General features: G+C 58.8%; 1 protein-coding gene and 1 pseudogene across 20 annotated transcripts, besides 6 other annotated features; one reads left to right on the top strand and one right to left on the bottom strand.

Moving 5' to 3' along the window:
* The first annotated feature begins 157 nt into the window (after positions 1-157).
* On the top strand, positions 158-9191 carry TEX14BP (testis expressed 14B, pseudogene; annotated as a pseudogene). The gene is made up of 8 exons (NR_104176.1): positions 158-267; positions 5625-5779; positions 6215-7050; positions 7250-7480; positions 7962-8049; positions 8139-8660; positions 8847-8896; positions 8993-9191. The product of NR_104176.1 is annotated as a testis expressed 14B, pseudogene (transcript).
* Positions 6949-6998: an enhancer, noted in NCBI's record as "active region_14503". NCBI's record gives its function as "activates an Ori minimal core promoter by ATAC-STARR-seq in GM12878 lymphoblastoid cells {active_cell/tissue: GM12878}" and the evidence as "EXISTENCE:reporter gene assay evidence [ECO:0000049][PMID:35858748]".
* A 53-nt stretch (positions 9192-9244) lies between the features above and the next one.
* ARHGAP33 (Rho GTPase activating protein 33) lies at positions 9245-22503 on the bottom strand. Of its 19 annotated transcripts, none has more exons than XM_047438129.1 (22): positions 22403-22503; positions 20325-20422; positions 20159-20243; positions 19707-19787; positions 19466-19603; positions 18943-19035; positions 17734-17856; positions 17569-17646; positions 17419-17485; positions 17251-17313; positions 16995-17147; positions 16815-16917; positions 15550-15694; positions 15388-15470; positions 15198-15305; positions 13750-13895; positions 12961-13114; positions 12733-12878; positions 12584-12658; positions 10995-11654; positions 10508-10899; positions 9245-10423 (listed from the first exon to the last, which is right to left on the bottom strand). In XM_047438129.1, exons 1-22 carry the CDS (start codon positions 22406-22408, stop codon positions 9638-9640), a joined length of 3783 nt encoding a protein of 1260 aa, XP_047294085.1. In that variant the 5' UTR covers positions 22409-22503; the 3' UTR covers positions 9245-9637. The 19 variants fall into 19 exon arrangements, 18 of the variants coding, with proteins under 18 accessions (XP_047294085.1, XP_047294086.1, XP_006723062.1 ...); XM_047438130.1 differs by having other exon boundaries at positions 17251-17310; XM_006722999.3 differs by having other exon boundaries at positions 9245-10899; positions 12733-12908.
* Positions 13069-13887: an enhancer, noted in NCBI's record as "H3K27ac-H3K4me1 hESC enhancer chr19:36275082-36275900 (GRCh37/hg19 assembly coordinates)". NCBI's record gives its function as "activates a minimal SCP1, AML or CMV promoter by ChIP-STARR-seq in naive H9 embryonic stem cells {active_cell/tissue: H9 hESC(naive)}" and the evidence as "EXISTENCE:reporter gene assay evidence [ECO:0000049][PMID:30033119]".
* Positions 19160-20044: an enhancer, noted in NCBI's record as "H3K4me1 hESC enhancer chr19:36268925-36269809 (GRCh37/hg19 assembly coordinates)". NCBI's record gives its function as "activates a minimal SCP1, AML or CMV promoter by ChIP-STARR-seq in primed H9 embryonic stem cells {active_cell/tissue: H9 hESC(primed)}" and the evidence as "EXISTENCE:reporter gene assay evidence [ECO:0000049][PMID:30033119]".
* Positions 20045-20930: an enhancer, noted in NCBI's record as "H3K4me1 hESC enhancer chr19:36268039-36268924 (GRCh37/hg19 assembly coordinates)". NCBI's record gives its function as "activates a minimal SCP1, AML or CMV promoter by ChIP-STARR-seq in naive H9 embryonic stem cells {active_cell/tissue: H9 hESC(naive)}" and the evidence as "EXISTENCE:reporter gene assay evidence [ECO:0000049][PMID:30033119]".
* Positions 22242-22721: a silencer, noted in NCBI's record as "silent region_10539". NCBI's record gives its function as "represses an Ori minimal core promoter by ATAC-STARR-seq in GM12878 lymphoblastoid cells {active_cell/tissue: GM12878}" and the evidence as "EXISTENCE:reporter gene assay evidence [ECO:0000049][PMID:35858748]".
* Positions 22952-23011: an enhancer, noted in NCBI's record as "active region_14502". NCBI's record gives its function as "activates an Ori minimal core promoter by ATAC-STARR-seq in GM12878 lymphoblastoid cells {active_cell/tissue: GM12878}" and the evidence as "EXISTENCE:reporter gene assay evidence [ECO:0000049][PMID:35858748]".

The raw sequence follows: 25306 nt of genomic DNA, 5'->3' as shown, positions 1-25306 counted from the left end.
TGAACACAACAGTGACAAGAACGACCCAAGGCCCTGCCTTACAGGGCTTAGTCCGGTGTGGGTAGACAGCCCCGTCCTCAGACAGTGACAGCCCCGACTGGTCAGGGCTGTGGGGCCCAGGCTGAGTGGCTGGGGCTGTGTTGGGGAAGGGGATGCTACTGCGCAGGCGCTGCGGGAGGCCACTGGTGCTCAAGCACCTCGGATTCCCGCTCATACAGCCGGCCGGATCATGTGGCAGTCAGGTGGCGACCACTATCTAGCCCAACGGTGAGTGCAAAGCCACCAGGACTGGGGTGTGGGCCCAGAACTTTCCCAGAGCTTTCTGGGCCCTCAGATCACCCTCAGACCCTTCCCCCAGCCCTCAGGCCCCTCCCACCCTGTCCTTCTCTTCCGCGGCCCTCAGACCACACCCCTGCCCGCCCCTTTAGCGAACCCTTTCCCCATTCCACTGACCCCTTCCCCAGCCCCAGACACTGTCCTCAGAGCCCCCTTCCCCAGCCTGTAGCCCCCACCCCCAACACACAGACACTTCCCTAGTCCTTAGTCCACGCGTCCCACCCGCGGACCCCCGCACAGTCGGCAGATCCTGCCATCAGCGCCCTCTCCTCCTTCAGAGCGCGCCCGCTGCCCTCAGACCCCATCCACCCCACGGACCCCACAGACGCTGTCCCTAGAGCCTCCCCATGACCCCTCTCACCGCCTCTCAGATCCTAAACCACAGGCGCCTCATCCTCCCACCGCAGCCTTCAGAGCCTCCTCCTGAGCCCTCCGACTCCTTTCCCAAGCTCGGATCCTATCCTCGCAGCCCTTCTGCCACCCTGGCACGCCCGACCCCAGCCCTAAGCCCCCTCCCAGACTCCCGATTGCCTTAGATCCCCCTCAGCTCTCAGCCTCCCTGCGACCCCAGACCTTCTGGTGTGTCGCCCTCCCAGAGCCACCCCCTTTTCTCATTCAGCCACCTCCCTTCCCATCAGACCCCTCCTAAATCCCGTTCCCGTCTAGACTGCGCCCCCAGGACCCCCAGCCAGCTCTGTCTTCATTGTTTTGTTGTGCCCAAAGTTCCAGTCCTTCACATCCCCCTTCCCTGATGAGACCCCCCTAGCGGATCCCTGCCCAGGAGCCGACTGAGCCGCAGCCCACAGATGCCCTCGCAGCCCTTTCGCGCTTCCCAGTGGAGCTGGGCTCCAAGAGGGATCTAGACACCCAGGTGGGCCGTCTGCACCACCTGGCTGTGGCTGGGGGCCCAGGATGGGGCCCGGCCAGGCTCCTGCGGAGAGGTGAGGGCCTGGCTGCAGGTACATCTGTGGCGGCAGGATCAAGGAGCTGTATGGAGGGTGTGGCTTCAGTTGGCCAGTCAGCAGTGGTACCGAACACCGACTGTGTCCCGAGCTCTGTGGTCCCTGATGGGGCTTTAAGGGTGAACATGACCCTTGGACCATTGGGAATGAAATGCAGTGGGATGAGGATGAGACCCTAGACAGTATGGCCTTTCAGGTGGAGGATGCTTGAGTCTTACAGTATAAGAGTCAGCCACGCAAAAAAGGTGAAATGAAGTGGGGAGAGATGGTGGGGTGCAATGGCTCATGCCTGTAATCCCAGCAGTTTGGGAGGCCGAGGCAGGCGGATCACTTGAGGTCAGGAGTTTGAGACCAGCCTAGCCATCATGGTGAAACCTCGTCTCTACTAAAACTACAAAAATCAGCCAGGCATGGTGGCATGTGCCTGTAATCCCAACTACTTGGGAGGCTGAGGCAGGAGAATCATTTGAACCCGGAAGACAGAGGTTGCAGTGAGCTGAGATTGTGCCATTGCACTCCAGCCTGGGCAACAGAGCGAGACCCCGTCTCAAAAGAAAAAAAAAAAGAAGTGGGGAGTGATGGAAGAGGCTGTGCAAACGCTCTGAAGTCAAAATGAACTGCCCATGTATGAGTAGCAGCAGGACTTGGAGAGACGTGAGGCTGAAGTGGCCACAAGTCCACACAGTTAAGGGCCTCTAAAGGAGTGTGAGTTTTGTTGGATTTTGTGTGTGTGATAGGAAACTGTTGGCATTGTAAGCAGGAAATTAACATAATTAACATTAAATTAGGCTGGGCAACCTGTTCCACATGGCTCACACCTATAATCCCAGCACTTTGGGAAGCCGAGACAGGAGGATTGCTTGAGTCCAGGAGTTTGAGACCAGCCTGGGCAACATAGCAAGACCCTATCTCTATTTTAAAAAAATTACCAGGGAGTGGTGGCATCATATGCCTGTAGTCCCAGCTACTTGGGAGGCTGAGCAGGGAGGATTGCTTGAGCCCAAAAGGTCAAGGCTGCACTGAGCCTTGATCAGGCCACTGCACTCCAGCCTGGGCAACAGAGTGAGACCCTGTCTCAAAACAATAACCCATTAAATTAACAATGTACAATTTCTGTTTTGATTTTTGTAAAGTTGGTTGTGTTTCAGGCCACTTTCTGAACTTGCTTACTAGTTTTAATTGTTTTTTTGTTTTGAGACAGAGTTTCACTCTTGTTACCCGGGCTGGAGTGCAATGGTGCAATCTCTGCTCACTGCAACCTCTACCTCCCAGATTCAAGCGATTCGCCTGTCCCAGCCTCCTGAGTAGCTGGGATTACAGGCGCATACCACTACACCTGGCTAGTTTTTTGAATTTTCAGTAGAGAAGGGGTTTCGAACTCTTGACCTCAGGTGATCCACCTGCCTCAGCCTCCCAAAGTGTTGGGATTACAGGCATGAGCCACCACACCCAGCTGATAGATTTTCTTATGTTGAATCATCCTTGCTTTATGGGGATAAATCTATTCTATTTTATTTAAAGTTTTTGCATATATATGCAATTGATATATAATCTTACTTTCTGTTTCTGGAAACTTTCATCTAGTTTTGGAATTAAGGTCCTGCTAGCCTCATAAAATGAGCCTTGCCTTCTTTTTCTATTTTTCTTTTCTTTGGAACAACTCATATAAGATTATCTAGTCCTTAAAAGTGATTTGTGTTTTAAGAAGAGACCTCGGGCCGGGTGCTGTGGAGTGTGCTGTAGTCCTAGCTGCTCAGGAGGCTGAGGTGGGAGGATCACTTTAGCCCAGGAGGTCAAGGCTGCAGTGAGCTGTGATCGCACCACTGTACTCCAGCCTGGGTGACACAGTGAGACTCCGTCTTTATTTTATTTTATTTATTTATTTATTTATTTGAGACGGAGTTTCACTCTTGTTGCCCACGCTGGAGTGCAGTGGCATGATCTCTGCTCACCGCAACCTCCGCCTCCTGGGTTCAAGTGATTCTCCTGCTTCAGCCTCCCAAGTAGCTGGGATTATAGGCATGTGCCACCAGACCCGGCTAGTTTTTGTAGTTTTAGTAGAGACAAGGTTTCTCCATGTTGATCAGGCTGGTCTTGAACTCCCAACCTCAGGTGATCTGCCCACCTCAGCCTCCCAAAGTGCTGGGATTACAGACGTGAGCCACCATGCCTGGCAACACTCTGTCTTTAAAATAAAAAAAAAAAGGCCGGGCACAGTGGCTCATGCCTGTAATCCCAACACTTTGGGAGGCCGAGGTGGGCAGATCACCTGAGGTCAGGAGTTCAAGACCAGCCTGGCCAACATGGCAAAACCCCTAATCTACTAAAATAAAAAAAAATTAGCCTGGCATAGTGGCACACGCCTGTAATCCCAGCTACTTGGGAGGCTGAGGCAGGAGAATCACTTGAACCTGGGAGGCGGAGGTTGCAGCGAGCCGAAATTGCGCCATTGCACTCCAGCCTGGGCAACAGATTGAGACTCTGTCTCAAAAAAAAAAAAAAAAAGGCCTCTGTGGGGCAGGATGAGTGCAGAAAGGCAGTTAAGATGCTGTTGTAAAAGATAGTGAGCTAATGAGTCAAATGCAATGCCGCAAATCTGGTATTCAGAGATTCCTGAAGGTCCACATTTGGAGGGGTTTTGTGGCAGAGACCACGCTGGGTTGGGCCCAGTGCATGAATAATTAGCCGTGTCTGCCAAGGACACAGGAGTGCAAGGACAAGGATACCATGCATTTGCTCTACCTGGGGTAGGGGCTGGAGGAAGAGGAACTGGGGAATGACGGGTTTGGAGACCCAGGGCTTGGGGCAGGAGTGAGTGGTTGGGAGGGGGAGCTGAGCAGGAAGATGGTTGGGGAGGGGATTGGCGGAGGCCTGGAGGTAAGGACATGGAGGGGGTTGCCAACTGGATTGAGCCCTTAGATGCAGGCTTCAAAAATAAAATTGAGACCATGCATGGTGGCTCATGCCTGTAATCTCAGTACTTTGGGAAACCAAGGCAGGAGAACTGCTTGAGCCCAGGAGTCCAAGACCAGCCTGGGCAATATAATGAGACCCCATCTCTACAAAAAATTAAAAATTAAAATAAATAAAATTTGAGAGATCTGATAAAATCCAGAGTTTGCTTTACTTGAATTGCTGAGTGCTGGCCTCATGGGACCTGTGTGTACCACACTGAGTCACAGCTGGGTGGAGTCCGCCTGTCCCGGCCAGTGCGCAAGGCTCCTGGAAGTCAAAGTCCCCTGAAATCCACTTCCTCCTGGCCCATGGGGACCTTTGTGTGATTTTGATCCCCCTGGGTTGGGGGATAGATGTTTGCACAGCAGGCAGATGTCACCCCTTGTTTCAACTCTGTGGACTTAATGATTTGGGGAGCACTGTGTTGAGGTGGATTGCGAGGCATGGTCCTCAGCAGCTGGAGGGCAGGGGTTCCAGGACACAGAGATGGAACCTGGGGTCCATAGTCATCCAGTCATGGAGGGGCTGTGGAGGATGGGAATTGGCAAGGGTGTTTGCCTAGCGGCCCTCAGGCCTCCAACCCAGGAGTATGGGCCTGGGGCGTCCTAAGCCTGCCTGCCCCTTAGGTGTCCAGGTGGACGGGGAGAACTCTGAGGGGCAGACAGCGCTCTTCCTCTCGGCGCTGCTGGGCCACGGCTCTGCCATGCAGCTCCTGCTGGCCTTTGGTGCCAAGCCCAACCAGTGGCTGGCCAGCCAGTGATGCCCCCCATCCCCAGGGGCCCAAGTTTGAGCCCCAGAAAGCCTGAGAGCTAGGGCTCTCTTCCCCTGAGGCATCTCTCCCTCGAGATGCCTCTTCCATTCCCTGGTGACCCTCCTGTCCCCCCAGTAACCCTCCTTATTCTCTCAATTAACCCCTTCTCATTCCCCAGTGACTGTTCCCATTCTCCCAGTGCCTCCATGCTCGTAGTGATCCTCCATTCCCTAAAGACCCCATCCTGCCCTCATGTGACCCCTCCCATCCTCATATTCACCTCCCATGACATGGTGACTCCTCCCATCCCCCAGGGCCCCCATCCTGCCCCTTTTTGTCCCTGTTCAGTCCCTTCCCTAATCGACTCCCACCGCGTTGTTCTGCTCTAACCGCTGCCTGGATGGCAGCACCCCCGTGCCTGCAGGCGCCTTCTTTAGTGATGGTGCCCCTGCTGCAGGCAGGGGGTGACTTGCAACTGCATGACCAGCGGGGTCGCACACCACAAGACTGGGCTGAGCAGGGTGGGGCCAAGCAGAACTGGGAGGTGAGCAGTGGCCCTGGTGGGAGTGAGGGATCAGGGCCGGCACCCATCAGGCCTCACCCTACGTGCCCTCCTCCAGTTGCTGGAGTTGTTGCAGCTCTGCCGGGCCCACATATCAGCGTTCGTGCATGACGGTGAGTTGCCACCCATGGCATCTCTGGACCAGTTGCAGGCCAGATTTGGGAACAGCCCGCCTGGCTCCCTGTCCTCCCTGAGGCTGATGCAGGCAGACAGGTAACCGTCCACATCCTGAAGCCCACCCGCCCAACCATTCCCAGCCACCCCAGACTTACCCTCGGCCTGCCCCCACCCCAGGATGCTGAGGCTAGCACAGATCAGGAGAGCCTCCCAAGTCCCGGCCTTGGGGTTTGGTCAGGTAAGCAGGAGTGGCTGTAGGAGTGGGAACCACCCCTGTCTTCTTCGTGCCTCATGATCCTGCCTGTCCCTAGCTGAGTAGCCTGTGGCCACCGGGGCTGGTAACGGGCATCCCCCTTGTGGACCCCAAGGAGCTGCTGGCAGCCCAGGGAGAGCCTGACTGCACCTATGAGAGCAGCTCCCCACCCTCATGGCCAAGTGAGAGCCCCGCTGTGCCCTTGCCAGCTCTCCTGCTCCCCTCCCAGGGAAAGCCCCCTCGTCTCAGGCCTGTACTGCCCCGCCCCTATTCTCCAGCCTCCTGTGGATGGGTCACAAAATGACTGTGCAGCAGCCGAAGGCCCCTGGAACCCAGACAGATGTGCTACTGGCTGACCTTCAGCACTGCAGGTACCTGTGCCAGCCCCCAGCCCCGCCTCCTGTTGGCCCTCCCACGGAAGACAAGGGTGTGTGGCCGTAGTCATGGCCAGAATCTTCACTTCTGGGCCAGCACCCGGCATGGAGCCCTTCTGCTGGGGCGATCCCCCCACTGGAAAGTGGGTGGGTACCAGTTGTGTGTGCAATGCCCTGTAGGCCTGAGAGGAGGTGGGGGTGTGGAAGGCACCAGGATGAGGTAGGCGGTGGGTGCTGGCCCTCCCACTGCTGGGCTGCGTGACCTGGGATCAGTCTTTCCTCTGTCTGATGGCAGGTGCAGATTGCCTGCCCTGGCACGTGGTGGGCAGTCTGGGCCCAGGAGCATCTCCCACCCTGTGTGGCTGGGGCCTGCTCGTGAGTGGCCTGCTGTCCTCCTGCCCAGCAAGCTGCACCACCCTGGCCTGTTGCTGCTGATGGCACTGAGTCCCTCTGCAGATCTGTCGGGGCTGTGCCTTCTCTTTGAGCCTGTGTGGCTGGGCTCCCTGCAGGGGGTGCTGCACCCACCGAGACCAAGTGAGGAGGCACCTGGGACTGTGCTGGGCCTGCCGCCCCGGCCCCCTGCTGCAGCAGGTGCTAAAGGCCCTGCTGTTCCTGCAGGCCCACTGGCGAGCTCACAGTGGCTTCAGCTCTCACACCGTGTAGCTGGTGCAGCCAGGCCTGGCTAAAGTGGGCCACCTGGAGCACAGGCGCCTCCTACGCCAGCGCTGGCTGCGGCCCAGGTGAGTGCCTGCCCTGCCTGCTGCCCCTTGACTCGGGCCTGCACGCTCCCCTCCTCCCTGTTCTCCAGCCTCCGTGGCCATGGGCAGTGGTGTCTTGTAGACCCCAGGGAGGAGGTGGGGGTGGAGAGGGGCACTGTGAGTGGCATAGGAGCTAGGTGCTGGCCCTACCACTGCTGGGCTGTGTGACCTGGGGTCTCAGTTTTCCTGTCTGGTGGCGGGTGCAGGTCCCTGTCCAGCAGCCGTCGGCTCACCAGGGCCCTTGGGCTCCACAGGCAGCAGAAGGGCTACCCCTGGGGAGGCCCAGGCCCAGGGCTTCCCCCGCCCCCTGAACTACACCCATGGCTGCCACTTCAGCTGATCTGCGGTGACATGCCCACCACCACCTCAGACCTCTACAGCTTCTGCATCCTGATCCAGGAGGTCTTCACTGGTGAGTGAGTGGCTGCGCCCCACCCCATGAAGGCACCCTCCCGCTTGGGTCCCTAACTGTGCTTCCTGGCAGGAGAGCTGCCCTGGGCTGGGAGAGGGGGACCTGAGGTGAAGGCCAAGCTGGAGGCAGGGGAGAGTCCGGCCCTGGAGCCCCGGGTGCCAGCACCCTACCAGGCCCTGATTCGAGCTGGGCTAGGCCTAGCACCTGCTGACCGCTGGGGCAGCCTGCAGAGTACCCGATACCTACTGCGGGAGGCCCCGGCCCAGGTACAGGGCAGGTCAGCAGGGGGTGGGTGGTGGCCATGGGACCCCAGGCAAGCCTGTGTCCCCACACCCAGCCTCCGGTCCACAGGACGTGGCTCCTGAGGTGAGCTCCCCAATGGAGTGGACCACGCTATCCCCTGCACCCCAGGGTTCCCCACCAAGTTAGAGGGCAAGGAAGGGATGCTGGCAGGTGCTGACCAACTGGTCTGTCCCCACAGAGAAACTGTACATCAAGTGGCTCACAGAGCCAAGACCACACCCAGGCCTGTGGCCCCTGTGATGTCCCCAGGCCCCATCCCATGCCAGGTAGGAGCCAGGACGGGGCTGTGGGGGACCAAGGGAGCTGTGGGACACCTGGGCAACCCATGCCAGCTCTCTGCCATCCTTCTCTGCAGGCCTGAGACTCCTGAGGTCAGAGACCACAGCAGGATCCCAAGGGGTGCAGCCTGGAACTTGGGCAGCAGCTTGACTCTAGGCAGCAGCTCTGGGCCCAGCCCAGGACCCAGCCCTGGGTCTGGCCACAGCCCCACAGCCAGGGTCAGCCTGCACTGCTGCCTGGAGCCCAGCTCAACAGTACAGATACCCCCAGAGCCCTGCACAACTGTCCCACTGCTAACCTGTGACCCCCTCCGCCCGCCCTCCAGGAGTCACCAACCCGAAGTTCCCTGGCTGCCTCTCCTTTGACCAGGGAACTTTAGGGTCGCCCAACTGTCCCCTCACTCACCTATGACCCTTAACCAACCCTGCTTCCCCCAGGGCCCTTCCCTGCACTCCAACTCCAGCCTCTAGGACTCAGCCTCCCTGCTGGGGACCCAGAGCTCTGCGGAACAGTTTGAGGAAGCTCTCAGCCAAGATTCCAGCCCTGCAGGGGCTGCTGCGGCGCACACACAGGGTTATTCTGCTGGAGCCCCAGCCCTGTGAGCCCATCCCCAGCCTGCTGACCCACAGGGAGGCTTCCCACACACTGGGAGGCTGCTGGCAGGGAAGGCCACGAGGGCAGGCTAAGCAGAGGACCCCGAGCTCAGCCTGTGCCCCATCTGCCCTCCCAGGCCCGCTGGAGCACCATGGCTACCAGGTGGCAGCTCCAGCCTTCTCTCCTGCAGGCACCCGGTACTGAGCTGACTAGAGGAGGTCTCTTCTCCAGCCTGCAGAAGTGAGACCCGAGGCCTTGGATGGGAGGACCCCAGGTAACCCTAGGTCTTTATCCCTGAGGTAACCCTAGGTCTACCTGTGCCTCACTGCTCCCCAGGATGGACCTGCTGGAGGAGATCATAGCAGAGCTACAAAAAGGATGTCAGCTTGGAGAAAAGCCCAGCCTGAGCCCCACTCCTGACCTAGACTCCCAGGGTGCCCATGGTTCCCCTCTCTGCAGATACCACCTCTCAGAGGCTCCCAGGAGTAACTCCTGCCTTGGTGCCTCCCCAAAAGGAAATAGAATGATAAAGTGCCCCCTCTGTCTGTCTTCACTCACTGAGTTTGGCCCCAGAACGACTTCAGCAGCCACATTTTCACCATTTTATTCATTAATGTTGTCAGATGGTTTAGTGGGGCATGTGGGGAAAGAAGGGTAGGAGTTGTCCCCCCATCCCCGTGCACAGGTCAGGACATGCTGGGGGCTCCTGGAGGGAGAGGAGGATGGGGTCAGCCTAGCCCCTCCCACCCCAGATTTGTGCGAGGGCCCCCAGGATGGAGGGTGGTGGGGGGATGGGCAGACCCTTCAGTCCAGGGTAGGGAAGCTGAGATTATAGGTTAGGGACCCACATCAGAAGCAAGTTACAAAGTTAGAAACCTGGGGTAGTGGTCGGGGTTCAAGAAAATACAAAACAAGGGATTTGGTTGGGCCAAGATCCAGTGAGGGTGAAGGGAAGGAAGGACGGCCCCTCCCAGCTGGTGCTCAGCAGTAGCTTCGGGTCTGGCCCTCAGAGTGGAGGGACCAGCTGGGAGTGGGGTAAGGGGGTGGGGGACCAGCCCCCTCCCCTCTTTGCCCTCCATTTCTGTACAAGGACCCTCGGTGGAGCTCGCCCCCCCTTCCGTAGGCTGGCGGGGCTGCCCTGTAGAGCAGGAGAGGCTCAGGAGGGCCCCAGGGACCCGGCACCCTATGAGGGGTACGGGGTCCCCAGGGTGCCCGTTGTTTCTGGGGAAGGCGGGGGACTGGGGGACCGGGATCTGAACGGCTTCGGGGGTGGGCAGGAGGGGAAGAGGAGGAGGAAGAGGCAGGTGAGGGACCCCTGGGCCCTAGAGCTAGGTTGACGTAGAGGGGCTCAGGCGGTGTAGGGCGCCGAGCAGGGTGCTGGGGGGCTGAGTAGCCAAGGTGGTCAGGGGGAAAGCAGGAGGGGGCTGGCGGGTAGCTGAGCAGGAAGTCGGGGGACCTGTGGAGTGGGGGTGATTGGCCAAGCATGCCGTAGGAGGCATTGAGCCTGTCGGGGGGCATGGAGCGAAAGGGACTCCAGGAGCGGGTGGGGCCAGAATAGGGGGACCCCTCACTTGCCCCGATCTCATAGTACAGGTTCTCTCCCCTGTCGAGTGGTGCAGGGGGGCCCAGAGAGCTCCTCCAGACTGGGGCTGGGGAACTGGGCTGGAAGGATGGGGGGCCCAGGGGGTACAAGCCTGGCTTGGGGACCCCGAGGAAGGGTGGCAGGCACTCCCTGGGGGCTGGGGAGAAGAAGCCGGGGGTAGGAACCTGTGAGGGGACAGAACATGGGGACTGGGCTGCTGCCTCTGGCGCATCCCTGCCCCCGCCACCTGCCCTGAGCTGGGCACTGACCTGGGCAGGGCCTCGGAGTCCCCTCCTTGAGGTCCCCATGGGCCGCTGGCTCCTCAGCAGGCTCCCATCACTTTGTTGCCTTGGTAAGTAGGGTGGGGGTCCCGGGACCCAGGCACCCGGGTGTGCTAGGGAGTTGGGAGGTGGCCCACTCCCTGAGGTCCCCAGGGGCTCCCCGCCCACCTCCAGAGACAGCGAGCGGTGGAAGGGGGATTGGGAAGCAGGTGGGGTGCCCCCACACTCCTGCTGGCTCTGTTGCTCGGCCACCTGCTGAGCCCGCTCAGCCAGGGCCAGGGCCATGAGGCGTGCTGGGTTCTTAGGGGGCGGGGGTGGGGCACCCCCAGGGCGCAGGAGAGACAGGGGAGGGGGTGGCAGTGGTGACTCCATATCAGGACCTATATAAATGAATGGAGAGGGGTTCAGCTGGGGCCAGGCCCTCAGAGTCAGTGACAGCTGGCGGGGACAGGGGTGGGGTAGGCTGAGGACTCACCGAGTGGGCCCTGGGCTCCCCGGAGCTTGCTGCACATCTCCTGCTGGCAGGCGTCAGTCAGCGGGGCCTCGGCTCCTCGCAGCAGCAGGGGTATGAGATGGGGGCGCAGGCTCCGGCCGGGGCTGAGAGCTGGTGTTGGGGTGGCTGAGGCAGGTGCTCCCCCAGCCCCCAGCAGTTCTAGGACAGCGGGTGGCACTGATACAGCCAGGGGCTCTGAGATGTCTAGGGCAGCAGGCGAGGCGGGGCTGGTGGGCCCCCGGGGCGAGATGGCCTGGGGGGTCACCCTGGGTGGGAAGGCAGAGGCAGGGGCGGGGGGTGCTGGGCTGGCGGGAGGTGCGGGATCCCCTGGGGTGGGGCTGCTGCAGCGGAAGGTTAAGGGATCAAAGTCCAGCCCCCGGAGTCCCTCCAGGCAGCGGGGTGGGCTGAAGTCCAGCTCATCACCATCATCTAGCCAGGCTGAGGTACGGTGTGAGGGAGACCCAGAGAGTGCCCCCAGCCCAGCTGCTGAGGACTCAGAGGAGGAAGAGGAGGACTCAGAGGAGGAGGACTCGGAGGAGGAGGACGAGGACAGGCTCTCGCAGGAGCCAGCAGGTGCTGGGCCCACAGGGAAAGCGTCGCTGCTGGAGTGGGGTCGCCGCAGCCTGTGCAGCCTCTGGAGGCCTGGAGGGGTGGGGTCAGTGAGACCATCCCTGAGAACAGGGCGCACAGCCCCACAGAAAGCTGGGGAAAGGACATGAAGAGGCGCCTCCTGGAGAGGGCCACAGTAGTGTGAAGCCAGGAAGAGCTGTTCAGATTGACAGTGGAGACCATGAAGAGGACACTTCCGGCCCAAAGCACGAAGGCCCTGTGGCTGCCCCACAGGCTGTGAGCACGAGACCAACAGATTCACATACAGCTGCTGAGCCAGCAGGACAGCACCTGGGCTCCTGGGTATGTGGGAGGGCAGTACCCCAGGAGTGTGAGGATGGCGCGGTGGCTCAGAAGAGCCCCCAGAGGCACGGCTGGGTGGGGTGGATAAGCAGCCCCCCGCAGAGGTCGGAGAGCAGCACCCAGCAGCGCGGCGGGCTGTGAGGTAGCGATGGAGAAAAAGCCAAGCTCCCCATACAGTGCGGCATCCCTTTCTTACAACGCCCTTTAAATCAAGTTTCCAAAATGGCTAGAACTGAGCAGTATGATCCTTACACACACACCTGTGTATGATCAGACCTGGAAAGCAAGGGCAGGGTAGTCTGCAAATTGAGAGGATGCCTCCAGTGGGGAGGAACTCGAAGGGGAGAAGGAATGGGGCTGCTCTAGTTCTGGCTGCTGGGTTCATGGGTGTCCATGATATTATTTTAAAATGTTCAACAGGAATAATAAAGACTTTTAAAGGGCCCGTCATGGACCAATGAGTAAGTTAAGTTCAGTGTGTGATGAACCAAAGGTGATACTGTATCCAACTCATTGTACATAAAGGCCAGGTTAAATTTTTCAAAAGCCCCAGGGCCCCCAAATGTGAAGTATAAAATTTGGAGGCCAAACCAGGGCCCCAATTCCTCCCGGCTCCACATGGGCACAGGTAGCGCCCCCCAATTGCCCGCCTTGCTCACCAGCCCCGCTGGCCTGCGATGACAGAGACTCCTCGCTCTTGGCAGATCTCAGTGTGACGGTGTCGGGTCTGCTGCCTGCAGGAGAGGGAGAGGTAGGAGGGCACTCCAGCGACCATCGCTGCCCACCAGCCCATGGCTCAGCCTCTCACCTGAAGGCTGCGGTGGGGCACGGGTGCCCCCCAGCCAGGGCAGGGGCTTCTTTCGAGGGACACTGGGGCCCCGGCCCAGTGCAAAGAACGTCTTCCAGCTGCTGCCCCCTGGCTTCCGCTGCTTCTCCCCTCTCTCCCCTTTCCTCCTGCGGTTTGGGGGAGAAACAGGAGGCCGTCTGAGGAACCAGGCCTCCACCTGCCCCTCGCCACCCCCAGCATCCCACTCACCTTTCCGCAGGTGAGGCCGGGGCCTTGGGAGTTGTGGGCTCCGTGGGCGTCCCCAGCCGGCCCTGGGTGCGTGCCTGGGCTTCCTCCAGCGTCAGCAGGCGGGTGGAGGGGCAGCTGCCCGCAAGGGACTTGGGCCTGGGGAGCAGGCAGCGGCCTGGGGAGTGTGGAAAGGGGGCAGCTGTCAGCTCTGGGGCCGCCCAAGGCCACAGGCAAAGCCAAGCGCCACAGCCCAAGCCCCGGCCCCGCAGCATGCCCACCCGGGCTGGCAAGGCAGGGGGCCGGGGCGGATCAGGCGGGAGCAGGCGGGCAGCAGGCAGGTGGGAGGAGGGCGGGGCGGGACGAGCTGATGAGGAGGCAGCTCCCGGCAGCCAGCGAGGGCAGCGGCTCTGGCTTCAGTTACCTCGGGCCAGAGGGCCCTCCGACGTGCTGAGTCCTGACTGGGCTGGGGTCCGGGGCAGGGCGGGGAGTCTGGGTGGGGCCGGGGCGGGGTCAAGTCTGGGGACCTCCCACCTCCTCCCAGGTGGACCCATGGCCCCAAGCGCCCCCAGGAGCTACAAGGGGTGAAGGAAGAGCGGCGTCCGGGCCAAGAGGTGGGAATCCTGAGCGGAGGAGCTGAAATGAGAAGGAGGGGGGCGCGGGGAGGGAGAGGCCGGGGCGGGATCCTCAAGGAGCCGGAGGGAGGCCCAGCTTCAGTGGGGTGGGGACGGGACTGGGAGCCCACCTGCCCTCCCCCTGCAGCCCTGATCGTGGTGGGCAGTAGCCAGGACCTCAGGGGGTGGGAGGGCATACCTGCAGGGTCGAGGCCGGCGGAGGTGAAGGTGTCGCTGAACAGGACGTCCACATGGGTGAGCAGAAACTCCACCACCACCGACTGCACCCGAACTTCCCGGAACGCCGCCGCGCCACCCATTCCCACTGACTCCAGCTCCATGGACCTGGGTGGGAGGAGCGGGAGGGAGGCTGGGTGCCTTGAGCCCAGCCAGCAGGTTCTGGCAGGGCAATGAGGGGAGCCAGGGGAGGCAGTGACTGTCTATTCAACACCTCTGACCTCAAACTGATCACGCCTCGCTGGGCTCTCAACCTTCCCCCAGACCCGCCCCTCCTGCCTTCCCCATCTCAGTGTGGTTCTTCCTGTGGCTCTGGCCAAACACCTTGGGGTTGCCCTGAGCCCCCCTCTTTAACTCCCACAATCAATCTGTCACCCCCTCCACTGCCCCCCATCTGGCCCAGCCTCCATCTCCCCCAGCCTGGACATCCCAGAGCCTCCTTCCGGTCCCCACCCTAAAGTATGCTCCCACCTGCAGCCAGAGGGAGCCTGAGACCACCTGAGTTCCATCAGGGCCCGCCTGGCTCAGAGCCCTGCCCTGGCTGCACCTCGCTCCAGGCAAGAGCAAAGTCCTCACTGTGACCCATGACCTGTGAGTCACCCCTCTGTCTGGTCCCCGTCACCTCTCTGACCTCATCATCTCCTCTCCCTCAGCCCCTCACTCACTCAGCTCCAGCCACACCGGCCTCCCTGCAGCTCCTCCAACACACCAGGCACCGGCCCAGGCCCAGATGTCTGCACCTGCCGTTCCCTCAGCCTGTCACTCCCCACGTGCGCACCTGGGGCCCTCCCTCATCCTCTGCAGGTCTTGACTCAAATATTGCCTTCTTAGTGCAGTCTTCCTCACCCACTTTATTCAAAACTGTACACTCCCTTCTCTGTACCCCTGGCCTTTCTCGTTTATTTTTCTCCGTACATCTTACGCCCGTCCTCTGACATACCACCTGTTTTACTTGTTTATGTATCTGTGCCCCCAGAAGACTGTGAACTCCGGCAGGGGAGAGATCATGCCTGTCTCGTTCACCATCAAATCCTCCAGGCTTATTCTGCTGCTGGCCACAGAAGACCTGCCAAAGCCTCCCTTGCCACTCTCGCTAAAAACTTCACACTGCCCTGACCCTGCACACTGCCCTTCCCTCCTCCTCTCTCCTCCTCAGCACTCATCACCATCAGACTTTACTCTGTATTTTTCCTGTTGATGTTCATGGTCCATCTCCTCCATGAGAACATGAGTCCCAGGAGGACAGGGCCATGCTCAGTGCTGGGTCCCCAGTGCTAGGGACGGGGCCAGGTCCATGGGAGGTATTTGATAGACACGTATTCGATGAATAAACAAAAGAAAAGCTGGGCGGGTTCCTGGGGTGGTTTTGGGGAAAGACCTGAGGGGCAGGCAGGCGAGCAAGCAGCTCACCGTAGCAGGTTGGGTGCCCAGACAATGGCCAGGTTGCGGGCATGCATGCTGGTGTTGGCACTGTGTCTCGCCATGCGGGCCAGGTGCCTCAGCAGGTACTCCAGGGTCCTGGGGGTGGGAGCAGAGGGGGCACCTGAGCCTCAACCCCCTTGGAATCCCACCAAGTCCCGCCCTGCCCCTCCTGGTTTACCTGTAATGTGGTGGGGGCAGCTGCTGGATGACATCGTGCACCCGCACCAGACGCTCCTCCTCCCCAGGCACTGACATGGCCTCCTGAGATGGTGGGCAGGTGTGATGAGGTCTGGGCCAGAGGCGTCCCGGCCCCCTCCGTCCCGCCAGCTCCCTTACTCACACTGAACTTCCCATAGAGCTGGTAGGTGAGCAGAGGGTTCGGAAGCTCTCGGAAGTAGAGCTTGCAGAGGGAGGACACGCTGTGGATGTCCTGCAGGAATGCAGGGCCAGACAGCTCCGGGATCCTCTCACTGTCAAACTCGTGCCTGAGACCACCGTGTCAAGGAGGAGGAAGATCCAGGTCAGAGGGGCTCGCTCACGTGGCCATGCTCCCCTTGCCCCTACCCCCAAGTGCCCGCAGGTGGATGGAACCCTCTTCCCCAGGTCCTACACTGGGCTCTTCAGAGGCAGAACCTTACTGAACTCCCCAGCAAGCCTGTGTGGCAAAGAGAAGGGTGCCGCATTTACAGAGGAGGATGCTGAGGCTCAGACAGAGGTGCCTCTGCCTGCAGCTACCCAAGACTGTCTGACTCCAGAGCATGAGCAGCTCCTACCATGCAGCTGCCATTCTCCTGGCTGTAAGAGGGCACTGGAAAATGTGGACAAAATCCCAGCACCCTGCTACTCCCAATTCTCTGGTGGGGCCCCACTGCCTGTGGTAAAATCTCCCACCCATTGCCACCTCCTGCCTCCCTCTTGGCCACCCCCCTGCAGGCTTCAAGCACTCCCCTCTCAGCCTCCTGCAGGCCGAGATCTCGCCTGGCTCCTCCCCGCCTCTAGACCCCGCCCCGGCTCAGAGCCCTCCTGCGGTTCCCCCTTCACTTATAGTAAAAGCCAAAACCCTAACATGAAGGCTTTGCCTGCGCTGGCACGGGGACTCCTTGGCCATGGCCTCCTGTTGCTGTTCCCTTTGCCCTGCTGCTCCCTCTGCATGGCCTGCCCCTCCCCTCCTCCAGACCCTCGCATGAGGTGGCTCTGCCCTTGCCATCCAAAACTGCAGGCCTCCCTCTTGGCTCTTCGTCGCCATCCTCCTTACCCCAATCTGTTTTCCTCCATAGTACCTGTCATCTTCTGGTGAACTCTATCCCTCCCCTGTTTGTCTCTTCCTCTAGCCCATGGGCCCTATGAGGGCAGGGGTTTCTGGCTGTCTCACTCACTGCTGCGTCCCCAGTGCCTAGAACAGTGCCTGGCACGTGGCAGGTGCTCGGTGAAGATAGTCCTCGCTTAGACTGCTAACTCTACTCTCAAGAGAGCTGTCCCTGACCCCAGCCTTGATCCTGCCACTCCTGACTCCTGGTAACTGTGTCCCCAGCATGCAGCACGGGGCTGGAGTGGAGGTGCTGGGTGAGTGCCTGTGGAAGGACAGGGTTGGCTAAGGGCCCTCACCGAAGCCTCTGGATGTTGGAAGACACGCCTGAGAGCCGGTAGATCCCATCCACCACCCCGTGGGCCTCAATGAACTCGGAGCAGCAGCGCAGCACCTGGGGCACTGGGAGAAAGCAAGGTCAGGGCTGGGTGGGCCGCAGCCCTGGTGTGACGGGTGGGGTGGGTGGGCCCCGGCCTCACCATCCTGGCCTGAGTTGCTGAGGTGCTCGCCAAGATCGCAGCCAAACACCCTCTGTCGCAGGATTCCCCGCTGCCGCAGCCGCTGCCGAGAAGGGCGGGAGCGCATGAAGGTGCGGAGCAGGCCGGCCAGCTTCCCACGAGGCCGTGGCACAGCTGTGGGGGCAAGGGGCAAAGGGCAAAGGCAGGTCTTGTGGGGTCAGCATGGCCAGGGGCCTGGTGGGGTAGGGGCTGGGACCTGACCGCCTATTTCTATTACCTGAGGTCAGAGACGAGATACCCTGGGGAGCCGGGATGCCACATGGGGGGCCATCGGCATCTGCTAGGCGAAAAATGGGGTGGAAGGGATGAGTGGGAGGCAAAAGACGCAGGAGGCCCCACCCCTTCCCACCCCTCCCCACACCTCCCATCCATCCATGGCACTTACCCGCCTTCAGGCCCGGACCTGGCCGCTCTGTGAAGAGTTCCACACACTCACTGGGGAAGAACCCGACCTGAGGAAGGTCAGGGTCAGTAGCTGGGCCACCCCAGTTGGCAGGTACCCCAGCCCCACCTGTCCGCGCCCAGCTGGACTCACCTGGAAGCCTCGCTTGCCCCGCCACCAGCTCCGATCCTCTGTGGGTGGCATGTCGATCACCGAGACAATGTCTCCCACCTGGGAGAGGGCGGGTGGGAAGAGAAGGGTCAGAAGGAGCAGGGGGTGTGGGGAGCCCAGCTGGAATCTGCTTCCCCACAGCCTCACCTCAAAGGACAGCTCATCTGGCGCCTGGGCTGTATACCGTTTGATCACATGGGCGGCCGCCACTGCAGGGATATTGAGTGACGCCTCCTCACTGAGGAGCAGTCGCCGGCCGTGATTGTCCAGCTGAAATAGAGGTGGAATGTGGCAAGGACAGGTCAGAAGACGGTGTTAGTGCAGGCATACCAAGCTCCTCCGCGCTGGGTGAGGCCACTGCCCGCCCCCGTCAAGAGCCCCTGTCACTCAGAGCTATTGGTCAAACACCTAGATTCCTGTTTGTAGGGATGCAGCCCTGGCACCCTCTGCGGGTGGGGAAACCTCTAAGAAAAACCCCTTTATTTCCCCTCACATGTCCCAGGACTCTCCCACCCAAAGGCTTCCCCACCTGAAGGCTTCCCCATCCACCTCTGCACCTTCATCCTCCACAGCAGATGCCACACGGTTGCCATCTAAAATCTCTCTGTGCTGGGCGTGGTGGCACACGCCTGTAATCCCAGCACTTTGGGAGGGTGAGCCTGGAGAATTGCTTGACCCCAGGAGTTCAAGACCAGCCTGGTCAACATAGCAAAACTCTGTCTCTACAAAACATTTTTTTTTAATTAGCCAGAGGCCAGGCACAGTGGCTCATGCCTATAATCCCAACACTTTAGGAGGCTGAGGTGGGCGGAACACCTGAGGTCAGGAGTTTGAGACCAGTCTGACCAACATGGAGAAACCCAGTCTCTACTGAAAATATAAAATTAGCCGGGCGTGGTGGCACATGCCTGTAATCCCAGCTACTCAGGAGGCTGAGGCAAAAGAATCACTTGAACCTGGGAGGCAGGGGTTGTGGTGGGCGAGATCATGCCACTGCACTCCAGCCTGGGCAACAAGAGTAAAACTCCATCTCAAGAAAAGAAAAAAAACCCCTCTGGTTTAAGCCACTCATAGCCAGGTGTTCTGTGAGTTACAGCCCAACCCATTTCTAACTGATATACATTTAAACCCTTGTATCCTTAAAGCCGAACACCTGCTAACACACACACGTGCACACACACACATGCTCACACACATTCTCTCACAGGCATGCGCCCACACAGACACTAAAATATCAACGCCTCCTCCACTCTGGCTCCTTTCTTTTCTATGCCCACACACACACCGAGGCTGCTTCTCGCCCCTCAGACACCCCCTCACCCACTCGGAATCTCCAAGCCCCCTGCCCAGGCCCACCTCCATCCAGGTGAGCACAGGCCCGCAGTTGAGGTTACTGTCCACCAGTCCTGACAGTGTCTCCAGGTACTGCAGCAGCAGTGGCACCAGCATCTGGGGGCAGGTTGTCAGAGTGGGCCTCTGTGAGTGGACGTGAGAGAGCCCACTGCCCTCCCACACTGCCCTAGCTCGTCTCTGGGCTGAAGTTCATCCTGAACACATGGGTGCTGCTCAGCTGTTAGGTACTGAGATATGGGCATATGAATGAATAAGCAGGCTGGGCCAAGCTCTTGAGTACCCTGGTTGGCATGACCATGGTGACCCTCCCATGGGACCCCCTGGAACTCCCCATGATCCTAAAACTTAGCAAAGCTAAATGTAGCAGAAGCCTACTACGTTTCTAAGGCTTCTCCATTCATTCAGATTGGTTGGGACTTGGGCCATACCAGTATTTAAATATTTCTCTATCCCGCTGCCTTGATGATTTCACACTGTGGATGAGGACACACTCATGAGGCAGGGGCTGAGACAACAAGCAGGTTACCTGGGCAGCCCTGGCACCCTCGGGGGGCGGGGGAAGCTCCGGAAGGCAGGAGAACCTCCGGTCAAATATGCACCGGTGGAGGTGGGCATCCAGGGAACGAAAGTCATCGTAACTCCGGAGAACCGGCCAGGAACGGCCCTGTGGGAGCAGAGGGACAGAAGGGAGCAGGGGCCCCATGACACCGAGCTGAGGACTACAGTGGCCATTCTCTCAGGCTAGATGAGAGGCGGGATGGCCTCACCTGACAGGTCACCTGCACCCCGAACACCAGCTCATTCTCTCCAGAGAGGCTGGGCCCTTCACGGTCTGGAGACAGCAGGAGCTGCAGAGGGAAAGCAAGGCCCAGGTGGACTTTTGTCCCAGTCCTGACCTCCTGGGGATGGCACTATCTAGGGACGGGTTTGTGACTCCCTTCTGGACCTCCCCGAGGACAGGGCCTGGTGATGTCCTGGTCCCTGACATAGAGCAGATACCTAACAAAAGTTGTTGTTGAATGAATAAAAGAACAAATGGATGAATGAATGAGCAGCTCTCCCCATCTGCTGTGGCTCCTGCAACTTTTGCTACTGACTGCTCAGACGCGTGCAGCAGCCAGTCACAGGGATAAGTTTCAGAAGCAAAGCACCTGATATCGTTGCAAGGTTGGGTAGGATATTGTCTTCCCTCCTGGGTGCAAATGCAAAGCCCCCATACCTGAATGTGGCCAAAGTCAACGTTCTCGTAGTGGAAATGGGCGCAGTCAGCCAGCCGCGGGAAGGGGCCTCGAGGAGCTGAGAGCCTGGGAGACAGGGGATGCGTCACCAGCAGCTCCTTGAGTCTCCCCAGCTCCTAGCTGAGCCCTTTCCTCCCTCACCCTCACCTCTTCCCAGGCTTCCCCTTCACACTGGGCCCCCCAGCAGTGGGTAGAGGCTGCACCGAGCCCTCCCCTGGGCCATCCAGGCTGTCAGTGCTGCGTGCCTGTAGAGCAGAAAGAATCAGAGGCCCCCAGAGATGGGAGCAAAGAGACAACGAGAGCATTGTTATCTGGCAGCGCGGGTCCAGAGCCCCGGGCGCTCCACACACCGCCCTGAGCATGAAGCAGGATGGCAGGTCGGGGGAGGTGAGGGCTGGGCTGAGGACAGGACTGCTTCTTCGTGTGTGGTCTGGGGTGGGGGACTGGAGAAGCAGGGGCCAGACGTGAGGCGGGGCAACAGGATGGAGAGCATGCTGGTCCCATCTCTCCCTGCTGAAAACCCTTCCGTAGCCCCTGCAGAGTACAGTGATCTCCTACCACTGTCTAGACAATCACAACTCCCATCTCATCAGCCTTCCTGCTTCCAGCCTCTCCCCTCCTGCCAGCTTTTCCGCAATAGCCTGGATCGTTTTCAGAAAACACAAATCTGGCTCTATTTCTCCATAGATCCTGGGCCTTCAATGACTCCCTGTTGTCTTCAAGACGAAGTCTGAATTCTCTGGTCTGATAATCGAGACTTCCCTGAGCTGATTTCTGTTTACCTCTCCAGTCCCATCTCTTCCCATTGCCCCCACTCTCAGAGCTCTTGAACTTCTAAGAGTCCAAAAAAAGCACCCTCTTCTCATTTCCTTCTAGGCCTTTGCAAAGGCTGTTCCCTCAGCCTGGAACACTCGCCCCACCTTTCCCTGGGTACATTCATCCTCACTCCCACCCCTCAGGTCCCAACTCACATGTGCCCTCCTCCAGGAAGTTCTCCCTGACCCTTCAGGCTGCACCTGGCATCTCCTCTGGACTCTCTCCATCCCCTGAGGTTCCCCCATCCCAGGTTCCATGCCTTGACCAGAGCTTCTCCCTTCACAGCTCTGATCACTCTGAGATGGCACTGGTGGTGACAAGTTCATCTCTCTCATTGGACTATGACCGGCCTCCCAGAAGGAGGGCCCCAGACTGAGCTCCCCAGCATAGAGCTGGGCATTGAGTTGGTGTTCAGACATGATTGTTCCTGATTCTTTTCTGGGTCCCCAGTGCCAGCCCAGTCGCGCGCAGCAGGGACTGGGTAAAATCTGATGAATAAATTAACCAGCTGCCAGACAGATTCACTGGGCTGTAGCGTCTCCCTGCTCCATGTCCCTGCAACCCCCAGTCACCCTCAGGGTCTCACCCTCAGGGTCTGTCCCCCTCCAGCCCATAAGGTTCCCCAAGGCAGGATGGGAGCTGACTCTCTCTGTGCCTGGAGCGTGGGGCCTGCACAGAGGCGGTCTCAGTGAATGTCTGCTAAGTGAGGGAATGAATGGATGAATGAGCGGGAGCAGCATGGTGGGAGAGGGAAATGGTGGGGGAGGGGGATGAGGACAAGGAGATGGAGCAGACCCGAGGATCAAGGGAGGTACAGTGCTGGCCTGTTGGGGTGGAGTAAGGAAGGAGTGGCTGGAGAGACGAGGCAAAGGCTCAGACTGATGCGGGGCGGGGGGGATTGAGAGGAACTGGGATAGGGTGAAAATGAGGGAGAAGGAGAAGAAAAGGGTCAGGCTGGGGATGGAGCGGGTGGGGGGTGGGGCTCGGGAATGAGAAAGGGGCTGTGGGGAGGAGGAGGGGGCTCCGCCGGGGAGGGCTGAGGGCTGGCAGAAGGATGCCGAGGAAGGTGCTGGGATGGGAGCTGGGGAAGGACCCAGGAGCCTCAGGAGGCCCCTGCAGGGGCCACTTGGGTGGCGCGGGTCCCTTCCTGGACTAGCCCCGCCTCCTCCCAGCCCAGGCCCTAGGTCCCTGTCACCCCATCCAGGGCGTGGAAGACGGGGATGCGCGCTTAGGGGGCGGGGTCGAGGTACGGGCTGGGACCCGGGATGGGGCCGCAGGACGGGAGGGACCACGGCTGAAGCACAGGCCGCGGGATCGGGCGGGGCCGGGGGCGGGGCGCGCGGGGCGGGGCTGCGCACGGACAGACTGACATCCGGACGGACAGGCTGACGGCCGCGTGGGACCCTTACCACCATGGTCGCGTAGCCTCCTCAGGCCCCGGCCGCGCTCGACCCCTCGCTCGCCGTTCTCGTCGCCGCTGCCGCCGCCATGGCGACACAAAGGGGAGGGCGCGAGCCGCGCGCGGGCGGCTGCAGACCCCGCCCCTAACGGCTGCCCGTGGCTCCGGCGCGCGCCCCACGGGGGCGGGGGGCAGCGGGAACGCGGCGCTGCTTCTCATTGGCTCCGCCCTTGGCCTTAGGCCGATGCCCCGCCCACCCGGAGGCTTCTCATTGGTTTCACCTTGGGCTCCGCCCCGGCTCTGTGTCCTCGGTCCCGCCCCTCGAAGTTTGACAGCGCCACGCCCATGACTGCTTTTCATTGGCTGTCATCGCCCTCCTGAGACAAGCCCCCAGGTTCTTTATGCTTTGCTTCCGACACTTCCAACACCAAGCAATGGACCCTACCTTTCGTCCACTCCCAGTGTCCATTCTTCTGACTTTTTTATTTTTATTTCTTTAAGAGACAGGGTCTCACTCTGTCGCCCAGGCTGGAGCGCAGTCCTGCAATCGTGGCTTACTGCAGCCTCAACCTCCTGGGCTCAAGCGATACCTCCCATGTAGCTGGGACTACAGGCGTGCGCTACCACGCCTGGCTAATTTTTTTTAGACATGGGGGTCTCACTATGTTACCCAGGATGGTCTTGATCTCTGGGGCTCAAGAGATACTCCCTCCTCAGCCTCCTTTCAAAGCGCTGGGATGACAGGCGTGAGCCACCACGCCAGCCAGCCCCTGATAGTCTTAATTGGATTCTCCCACGGCCTCAGAGCAGTGCCCAGTTCCTTAAGCAGCTTTTCAAAGTCCCAGTCCCAAGTCTCACCTTTTCAGTCCTGATCCCGACCCCGCTCACATAATGCCGAGGACGCTCCGCCCATGGACGTTTCTCGTTGCCTCATATACCTTGCCTAGGACGTAACCCGAGGCTTTCTGCGATTTGGCCTCCCCTGCCCACTGGACATTTTCTTGTTTCCCCTTCTACTGCTTATTACGGGCCAATCTCCAGCCTTGATTTTTTTTTTCTAGGAAAATGCTTAGGGGGAAATGCCAGATCATGCTTATGCCCCCCATAAAGCCATTCCCAATGGAGCCTGCTAATACTGAGCATGCCCAGATAACACTGTAATAACGCCCTTCACAGGAGGGTCTCTCCTTAGTCATGCCCTCAACAAATTCTCATCTCAGAGGGTCTTGGTCTGTTCATTCATTCATTCATTCATTCATTCACTCAAACTCTAATCAATTTGTACATACATCAACAACCAAACCAGGAGAAAATATACCCTGCCCACATTGGAGCTCAAAAGCTACTGGGAGAAGACAATGAACAAAATTAACATTAAACAAAATATAGAATATTAGGCCAGGCGTGGTGGCTCACGCCTGTAATCCCAACACTTTGGGAGGCCGAGGCGGGCAGATCACTTGAGGTCAGGAGTTCGACACCAGCATGGCCAGCATGGAGAAACCCCGTCTCTACTAAAAATACAAAAATTAGCCAGGTGTGGCGGCGGGCGTGCCTGTAATCCCAGCTACCTGGGAGGCTGAGGCAAGACAATGGGTTGAACCCAGGTGGCAGAGTTTGCTGTGAGCCGAGATCGCGCCACTGCACTCCAGCTTAGGTGTTGAAGTGAGACTCTGTCTCAAAAAAAAAAAAAAAAAAAAAAAAAAAAAGCTGGGGACAGTGGCTCACGCCTGTAACCCCAGCACTTTGGGAGGCCGAGGCGGGAGGATCACAAGGTCAGGAGTTCGAGACCAGCCTGGCCAATATGCTGAAACCCCGTCTCTACTAAAAATACAAATATTAAAATTAGCCAGGTGTGGTGGCGTGTGCCTGTAATCCCAGCTACTCAGGAGCCTGAGACAGGAGAATTGCTTGAACCCAGGAGGCGGAGGTTGCAGTCAGCCGAGATTTTGCCACTGCACTCCAGCCTGGGAGACAGAGCAAGACTCTGTCTGAAAAAAAAAAAAAATATTAGAAGGTGATTCATTCTATGGAGAATAATTAAGCAAGGGCTGGTGAAAGGGAGTGCTGAGGGAGAGGTGAATGTGCAGTTACTTATGTACTAAATTTGCTGACCTCACTCTCATCACAGGGATTTCCCACACGATATTCCTTCTGTCTAGTGTTTCCCCATCAACCCCTGCAGTGATTTTTTTTTTTATTTTTTAATTTTTCTGGGTACATAACAGGTATATTTAGGTATATATATTGAGGGGGCACATGAGATGTTTTGATACAGGCATGCAATGTGTAATAATCACATCATGGAGAATGGGGTCCTGCAGTGATTTTAAAACAGCTGCAAATTCTCTGACACTCTTCTTATCAAGACGCGGACTCTATGATTGCTTTCTATGAATCTGGGTGGGACTAGGATAGCTTCAACCAATAGAAAACAGTGGAAGTGACACGGTGATTTCTAAGGCTATGTGATGAAAGGCAATGCAGCTTCTTGACCAATGTTCTCGTCCACTGGAATGAGCTGTAGAACCATGGTGCATCATATGCGAAGTGTGACTATGCTGAAGCAGACATGCTTTGAGGAAGCCCAGGCCAATGGAGCTATGTATAGGCATTAGTCAATAGTCCCAGTCAGACTGGGAGAAGACCACGGAAGAAGTTCTGGAGGATTCTACTCCACAGCCATCAAGTCTATCAAGTCACCTTTGAGTCTTTCCAGGTGAATCCCCAGACATCATGGAGGAGACAAAAATTGTCCCCATATGAGCCCTGTCCAAACCTCTGACTCTCAGAATCCATGAGCATAATAAAATAATTGTTTTATGCCACTAAGTTTTGGGAGCGGTTATCCAACTAGAGTAATTAGGACAGCCCTTTGTTAACTAGATAATTTCTACCTGTCTCAGCTTAAGTG

The sequence above is a fragment of the Homo sapiens genome, chromosome 19 (genome assembly GCF_000001405.40).
Source record: "Homo sapiens chromosome 19, GRCh38.p14 Primary Assembly".
NCBI lineage: Eukaryota > Metazoa > Chordata > Mammalia > Primates > Hominidae > Homo > Homo sapiens.
Note: the sequence above shows the minus strand (reverse complement) of the source record. Positions and strands in the feature narration are given on the sequence as shown.

Bases quoted from the DNA above. Each gene is read 5' to 3' on its own strand.
- ARHGAP33 (XM_006722999.3), bottom strand. The intron at 19,604-19,706 runs GTGAGGCCATCC...CTGCTCCCACAG, and splicing joins GGGTGCAGGTGACCTGTCAG to GGCCGTTCCTGGCCGGTTCT. The intron at 19,036-19,465 runs GTAACCTGCTTG...ACCTGCCCCCAG, and splicing joins AGGGTGCCAGGGCTGCCCAG to ATGCTGGTGCCACTGCTGCT.